This window comes from Homo sapiens, chromosome 6, assembly GCF_000001405.40.
Source record: "Homo sapiens chromosome 6, GRCh38.p14 Primary Assembly".
Classification (NCBI taxonomy): Eukaryota; Metazoa; Chordata; class Mammalia; order Primates; family Hominidae; genus Homo; species Homo sapiens.
Window position 1 is genome coordinate 139,609,648 of NC_000006.12, and position 8,800 is coordinate 139,618,447.

General features: G+C 36.6%; 1 pseudogene; it reads right to left on the minus strand.

The window, feature by feature from the left end:
• Positions 1-4,606: 4,606 nt before the first annotated feature.
• Positions 4,607-5,602, minus strand: ATP5PBP6 (ATP synthase peripheral stalk-membrane subunit b pseudogene 6; annotated as a pseudogene).

Below are 8,800 nucleotides of genomic sequence, written 5' to 3' on the forward strand. Positions count from 1 at the left end.
TGTGATCTTGGATAAACAGAGCTTACCTCTCCAGACTGTTCTGTGTCTGAAGTTTTGTGACAGTGGGTAAAACAGTACGCATAGATAGAAAGACTAAGTGACAGTCCAGGGATGCCCATGGCAGTGTGCTGGTCTGTGTATGGAATATCTAGAGTATAGACTCTAGAATGAAAAAGTCAAGAGAAGTTATGTAGATCATAGAAAGATTAGACCAAATGGCCCAGGGAAAAATATGTGTTATCAATTGTATTACTGATTGGAGGGCACCGAGACTATGGCTAGTATTTCCATGTGGGAGTTTACACATTTTTGCCTACACAGAATTCAGGGCCAAAGAGATTACTGACTTGGCCTTATTCATCTGAAAAATTTTAAGTTTCAACAACAAAATGTACCTATCAAGGTTATAACACATAATCATATTAGTTCTTTTTCATATGTGTTTGTCTAGAACTGGTGCATTCATTTATTCCCTAAGGAATCAATGTATATCTCTTTCTTTGTCGGCCAAGCCTCCTAGGTCTACTTTCAAGGCTGTTGAGGTAAACTGATAACACCAATAGGGTATTTGGGGTAATTCTGTGAGGCAATGAGGGATGTTTACTACTCTTATTGGGGGGTGGGAGATGGATGGTGTTACAACTATGGAATGATTCTAAAAGGAGGAGTAAATGTCTGCAGAGTGAGAGGGAAGAGGAGAGAGATATTCTGTATGAATAGAGATGCAGAAGTGATAGACTGGTTGGTAGCAGGAGGTGGATCCAAGGTCAAAGGAGGGTTTGTAGTGAATGTGAAGCATGTGGGAATATTTGCAGGTTGAAGTGGGAAAGTCAGAAAGGAGAGGAAGGTTAAAGGTATAGGAAGAGGGGGGCAAGTTCTCAAAGAAGGTGGTGGTGGCCTTTAACTGAAAGAATACCCCACCATTTGGGGACGTAGAGTAAAGGAGATAAGGTTAGATGTGGGAAAAAACTCTGATAATTGTCATTGATTTTCCTTTGATTAGAAAATACATTTTCCTTTGACCACCAGGATAAAAAGCTGAACTGTTTATTAGAATTTCCCTGAATGCAAAAGAAGTAGAAAAAGAAGAAAACAGAGAAACATATTTTATAGTGGAATACCTGTAAATTCTCTACTTAGAAAATATTAACTTCGAATTCGTTTTTCTGTTTTATCCATCTTGCAGAAAGACTTGTTTTGTGTGGGTGTCAGTTGGCTAAAAACATTATATATTTTTTTACAAAATTCTCAGTGCTTACAATCTTGTGTGTACACAAGGCAGGGACATTCTTTGTATTATCAAATATTTGATTTCCTGTGAGGTTAACATATTTTTATTTCCCTATTTTGTGAATTGTCAGTTTTGTTATCTGAAAGAAAGCTTTTTTTTACAAAACACCTTCAAGCGAAAGAAAAAAAAAATGCCTAGGATTAAGAGAATTCAAATTCTCTGATCTGGGGTGGATGAATGGTGGAAACAGGAAGAAAATAACCAAGGCAGAAAAGATGCACAGAAATATAGACCCTTATATATGAAAGGGACTCTATGCAGTCCTGGTCCAATCAGTATCAAATTAATGAATGTGATGTGTACTTTCTTGATGGAGCATTCCTCTAATATCAGTTTGGTCACTTCTAGAAATAGGGAGATCACTATCTCTTGAGACTGCCCATTCCATTTTGGGTCTCAAAAAGTACCTATGTTTGAAAGTGCCGAAGTTATTACTATACATATGAATAGCAATTAAGTACTAGCTTAGAGAGCCTCATATGTGCCACGTGTAATTCTAAGTACCTCACATGTATTAAATCGTTTAATGCTCAAAGAGTCATCTTAGGAAGTTATGATTATTATCTCCATTTTACAGATAAGACAAATGAAGCTCGGAAAGGTTAGATAAACTTATCAATGTCGCCCAGCTGGTAAATAACGGAGCCTGACACAGGATCCTAGAATTCTAGCTCTAGAGCCTGTGCTTTTAAGCACATCAGTGTTCTTCCTTTCAATGCATGAATGTTCCCAGGTTTTCCTCATCCTTGAATTGGTCAAAGAATTCTACTGTTGCCCACTCAGACTTACCCCTTTCTTTGACTCCCATGGACAGATCTGCTGTTGCCAGACTATTTGCTTAGCCTTTTGTGATGCAGAATCAGGAATGACAAGAAAAAGGATAACAAGCAGATGGGCCAGGGGAAGACATTTCCGTAAAATGTGGCCCAAAACCAACATAGTATGACAAAAGTGTTGGAAGGAAAATGGAAATTTTGAGAAGCCTCGCTGGAGACTATACAATTCATGGCATTCAGAAAACTCAAGGGAGGAAATTGAACTATTCTTATGTTACTTTTTGTTAGCTAGACTGTACCCTGATTACTGCACCAATCTCACACTGGACAACAGAGATCATGGATTTAGCTTGGTTACATATATTTCTGTAAGAATCTGTTGGTTCCTTGATCTTGGACTTCCCAACATCCAGATCTGTGAGAAATAAATTTCTATTGTTTATAAGCTACCTAGTTTATGGTATTTTGTTACAGCATGCTGAACAAACTAAAGATACTTGAGAAATTCACTATTAGGTCTAGCAGGGTTTTTTGTAGGTTTCCTGGGTTATTTTTGCACAATGTTGTTTCACAATAGAGTTTTACTTCTTCTATTCAAATCTGGATACCTTTTATTCCTTTTTCTCTCCCTATTTCACTAGCTGGAACCTTCACTACAATGTTAACTAGATATAAGTTCAGATATCTTTGCATTTTTTCTGGTCTTAAGGGGAAAATAACCAATCTTTCATTATTAAGTACCATGTTAGCTGTAGTTTTTCATCATGTCTTTTATGAAGTTGATAAAGTTTTCTTATATTCCTATTTTGCTGAGAGTTTTTATCAGAAATTTATGTTGGATTTTGTCAAATGCTTTTTATGCTTCTACTGTGATAATCACATGGATTTTATTTTTTAGTGTATTAATAAGATAAATTAAGTTGATTGATTTTCAAATGCTAAGCCAAAATTGTTTACCAACACTGTTTTCATGAGATAAATCCCACTCTTTCATGATGTATTATCATTTTTATGTATTGTTGGATTTGATTTGTCAAATTAAAAAAATTGCATTTTTATTCATGAGGGATATTGGTATAGGATTTTCTTGTGTTAATGTCTTTGCCTGGTTTTGGTATCAAGGTAATGGTAACTTTATACATTGAGATGGGGAGAATTCAAACTCTTCAATTTTTTTGGAAGAGTTCATGTAACAATACATATTATTTCTTCCTTAAATTTTGGAAAGACATGTTGGCATGGGATTTTCTTTGTGAGAAGATTTTTTAGTTACACATTGATTTTCTTTAATAAATATAGAATTGTTCAGATTACTTAGTTCAGTGAGTTTTGGTCATTTATGTCTTTGGAGAAATTTGTTTATTCCATCTAAGTTGTTGAATTTATTAGCAGGAAGTTCATATTATTTTCATATTTTCCATTTATTATTTGTTTGTTTGTTTGCTTGTTTTTTTGAGACGAAGTCTCGCTCTGTTGCCCAGGCTGGAGTGCAATGGCATGATCTTGGCTCACTGCAACTTCTGCCTCCCAGGTTCAAGCTATTCTCCTGCCTCAACCTCCCGAGTAGCTGGGACTACAGGTGTACACCAGCATGCCCAGCTAATTTTTGTATTTTTAGTAGAGTTTCACCATGTTGGCCAGGATGGTCTCGATCTCTTGACCTCGTGATCCGCCTGCTTCGGCCTCCCAAAGTGCTGGGATTACAGGCATGAGCCACTGCACCTGGCCCATATTTTTCTTTTATTATATGTAGTTTCTGTAGGGAGGTCTCTATCATTTCTCATATTGATAATTTCTGTTTTTCTGATTAGTATCACTTTCATATATTTTTCTCAATGAACCAAAGCTTTTCTGTATTCATTCTGTATTTTCTAAATTACACTGAACTCTGTTGTAATCCTTATTTAGTTTCTTCCATAGTTTTTGGGTTTAATTTGCACTTCTTTTTCCAGTTCAGGGGTGAGTAAACTTCTTATGCAGAGGATGACATGGCAATATTTTAGCTTTGTGAGCCATACAGTCTTTGTACAACCACTCAACTCTGCCACTGAAGTGTGTATGCCCCTCTAGGATGTAAAAGAATGTGCAAGACTGTGCCAATAAAATTTTATCTCTAAAAATGAGCAGTGATCTTGGTTTGATCGAAGGGCTGTAGTTTGCCAAGCCCTGTTCTCTTTTCTCATAGTTGAAGCTGAGTTCATTGATTTGAGACCTTATTTTCTAATACAGTCATGTAGTGCTGTAAGTCTCCCCATTTAAAATGATTTTTGTGGTATTCTACGAATTTAGGTATGTTGCCGTCTCATTTTCATTCAGTTTAAAATACTTTCCAATTCAATTTGCCATTTTTTCATTCAATTATCACTATATTGCAAGATGGTATAATTAATTACAAGTTTAAATTATAACTTGGTAATCTTGAGTCAGGCAGCAAGTTTTAATAAAGGCAAACGCTTATTCAAAAGTGATCACGGAACAACTGAAATGCAGAGTAAGAAGGATGAGAGCCATCTGACTGGCCAATAGATTTAGTTCTCTCACTATATGAAACAAACTTTTCATTTTTAGGAGAGGAAACTTCTACTGAAGTTATAGTTTACGTCTCCTAAAAATACAGAATACAGGATACAAAAATACTACAATACAGAAAGATTTTGTCACATAGACTGGTTTCCATTTAGTCAATCAACTGTTTCTAGTTGTCTCAATTGGGATAGATGCATTTACATAACTGGCTGTGCTTGAGCCTTCTTTGCCAGCAGCTTTAGGTTGGCAATGCACTTGGCAATTGTCTCCTTTTCCTGCTGTGCAGAGATGCTCTGCACCACGTGCTTCTCCACCCAATTTATCATGTGTTCTTGTTTCTTTCGAAGCATCATGTTCTGCACAGTTATATGATAGTCCAGGTGATTCTTTACTTCCTTATATAGTCTATGCAGTCGTTCCCAGTAACCTCCAAAGCCATAGCAATGTTGTTTTTCTGCACATCAAAAAGGTAATGGTGCTTCTGAACGAGTGCCTGCTGTGACTTCTCCAAATCAGTTGCATCCTGGATTTGTCTGATAGAAGCCTGCTTCACCTCTTCTAGTTGGGCAATTTTTTGCTCATTGAATTTTTCAGCAAAATCTCCAATAGAGGCGCGATATTTTAAAATTATTTAGACAAGTAACCATACTATCGATGTGGTAGAGAAGGTCTCTGGGGTAATCATATATATTTCTTTGGATAAACCATACAAGATAAGCCCAGTTCTGAGCACATAGGGTCCTGTTACACCAGTTTTAGGATAAAGAAACTGGAAGAATTCCTCAGGGATCAGCCCCAAATGAACTTTCCCTCCATATTCAGGAAGAGGTGGTAGAAGGGCAAGGTGTGGCTGCCCTGTGTGAAAGGTCTTTGTTGCCTGCAATATCCCTGGACCTATGAAGGCTGTATTCTTCAGAGAGGGGGCCACCATGGTGGTGGCAGAATGTGCCACCTGGGACAGCATGGTCAGCGAAGGCCCAGGCAGTGGTCTTAGCATCCCTGTGACTCCAACCAGAGCCAATTTACCTTTTGAATTCTTTAATATTTGGGTTATATAGATGTGTGTTGTTTGGTTTCTAGAGATTTCTATGTTATTCATTTTAAAAATTTTATTCCTCTGTAGTCACAGAATAGACTTTGTATGACCTAAATTCTTTTAAATTTATTTAGACTGGTTTTATGTCCCAGAATATGGTCTATGTTTCACACACACACATGAATATTTCACATGCACATGAGAAGAATGTGTATTCTACTGTTGTTGGGTGGATTCTTCTATAAATGTCAATTAGGTCAACTTAGTTGATCGTATTGTTCAAGTATTCCATGTTTTAGATAATTTTCTGTCTACTTGTTCTATCAAATATTGAGAGAGGTGAATTTTAATCTCCAACTATAGTTGTGGATTTGTGCATTTCTTTTTACAGTTGTGTTAGGTTTGGTTTCCTATGTTTTATTTATTTATATTTATTTTATTTTTTATTTTTTAATAGGTTTTGAGGGAACGGGTGGTGTTTGGTTACATGAATAAATTCTTTAGTGATGATGTCTGAAATATTGGTGCACCCATCACCCAAGCAGTGTACACAGTACCCAATGTATAGTCTTTTATCCCTTGCCACCCCTCATTTTTTCCCCCGAGACCTTAAAGTCCAATGTATCATTCTTATGCCTTTGGGTCCTCATAGCTTAGCACCCACATGTGAGTGAGAACATAAGCTGTTTGGTTTTCCATTCCCGAGTTACTTCACTTAGAATAATAGTCTCCAATTCCATCCAAGTTGCTGTGAATGCCATTATTTCGTTCCTTTTTATGGCTGAGTAGTATACCATGGTATATTTCTATCTCTATCTCTATACATATCACATTTTCTTTAAATACTCATTGATGGGCATTTGGGCTGGTTCCACATTTTTTGCAATTGCAAATTGTGCTGCTATAAACATGCGTGAGCAAGTATCTTTTTTGTATAATGACTTCTTTTCCTCTGGGTAGACATATAGTAGTGGGATTACTGGATCAAATGGTAGATCTACTTTTAGTTCTTTAAGGAATCTCCACACTGTTTTCCATAGTGGTTGTACTAGTTTATGTTCCCACCAACAGTGTAAAACTGTTTCCTTTTCACCACGTCCATGCCAACATCTATTATTTTTTGATTTTTTGATTATGGTCATTCTTAAGGGAGTGAGGTGGTATTGCATTGTGGTTTTGATTTGCATTTCCCTGATAATTAGTGATGTTGAGCATTTTTCCATATGTTAATACTTGTTGACCATTTGTATATCTTCTTTTGAGAATTGTCTGTTTATGTCAGCCCACTTTTTGATGGGATTGTCTGTTTTTTCTTCTTGCTGATTTCTTTGAGTTCTTTGTAGATTCTGGATATTAGTCTTTTGTCAGATGTATAGATTGTGAAGATTTTCTCCCACTCTGTGGGTTGTCTGTTAACTCTGCTGATTATTTCTTTTGCTGTGCAGAAGCTTTTTAGTTTAATTAAGTCCCACCTATTTATCTTTGTTTTTGTTGCATTTCCTTTTGGGTTGTTGGTCATGAAGTCTTTACCTAAGCCAACGTCTAGGAGGGTTTTCCGATGTTATCTTTTAGAATCTTTATGGTTTCAGGTCCTAGATTTAAGTCTTTGATCCATCCTGAGTTGATTTTTGTATAAGGTAAGAGATGAGGATCCGGTTTCATTCTTCTACATATGGCTAGCCAATTATCCCAGCACCATTTGTTGAATAGGGTGACCTTTCCCCACTTTATGTTTTTGTTTGCCTTGTTGAAGCTCAGTTAGCCGTAAATGTTTATTTCTGGGTTCTCTATTCTGTTCCATTGATCTGTGTGCCTATTTTTATAACAGTACCACGCTGTTTTGGTGATTATGGCCTTATAATAGTTTGAAATCGGGTAATGTGATGCCTCCAGATTTGTTCTTTTTGTTTAGTCTTGCTTTGGCTATATGGGCTCTTTTTTGGTTACATATGAATTTTAGGATTTTTTTTCTATTTCTGTGAAGAATGACAATGGTATTTTGAAGGGAATTGTATTGAATTTGTAGATTGTTTTTGGCAGTATGGTCATTTTCACAATATTGATTCTACCTGTCCAAGAGCATGGGATGTATTTCCATTTGTTTGTGCCTATGATTTCTTTCAGCAGTGTTTTGTAGTTTTCCTTGTAGAGATCTTTCACCTCCTTGGTTAGGTATTTTCCTAAGTATTCGATTTTATTTTTTGCAGCTATTGTGAAAGGGATTGAGTTCTTGATTTGATTCTCAGCTTGGTTGCTGTTGGTGTATAGCAGAGCTACTGATTTGTACATTAATTTTGTATTCTGAAACTTTGCTGAATTCGCTTACCAGTTCTAGGAGTTTTTTGGATGAGTCTTTAGAGTTGCCTTTCCTTTCCCTTTCCCTTTCCCTTTCCATTTCCCTTTCCCTTCCTTTCCTTTCTCTTTCTCTCTTTCTCTCTCTCTTTCTTTCTTTTTCTTTCTTTTGATGGAGTCTTGCTCTGTCTCCAGGCTGGAGTGCAGTGGCGCGATCTCGGCTCACTGCGACCTCCGCCTCCTGGGTTCAAGTGATTGTCCTGCCTCAGCCTCCTGTCTTTAGGGTTTTCTAGGTATATGATCATATCATCAGCAAACAGCAACAGTTTGACTTCCTCTTTACTGATTTGGATGTCCTTTATTTCTTTCTTTTGTCTGATTGCTCTGGGTAGGACTTCTAGTACTATGTTGAGTAGAAGTGGTGAAAGTGGGCATCCTTGTCTTGTTCCATTTCTCAGGAGAAATGCTTTCATCGTTTCCCCCTTCAGTGTAATGATGGCTCTGGGTTTGTTGTAGGTGACTTTTATTACCTTAAGGTATATCCCTTCTATGCCAATTTTGCTGAGGGTTTTGATCACAAAGGTTGCTGGATTTTATCAAATGCTTTTTCTGCATCTATTGAGATAATCATGTGATTTTTGTTTTTAATTCTGTTTATGTGGTATATCACATTTACTGACTTCTATATGTTAAACCATCCCTGCATCCCTGGTATAAAACCCCCTTGATCATGGCGGATTATCTTTTTGATATGCTGATGGATTTGGTTACCTACTATTTTGTTGAAGATTTTTGTATGTGTTTGGAATCTGTGTGTTTATTGCTCTTATCAAGTTTGAAATATTTTCAGTTTTAATTTCTTCAATTTTTTTTTTTTAC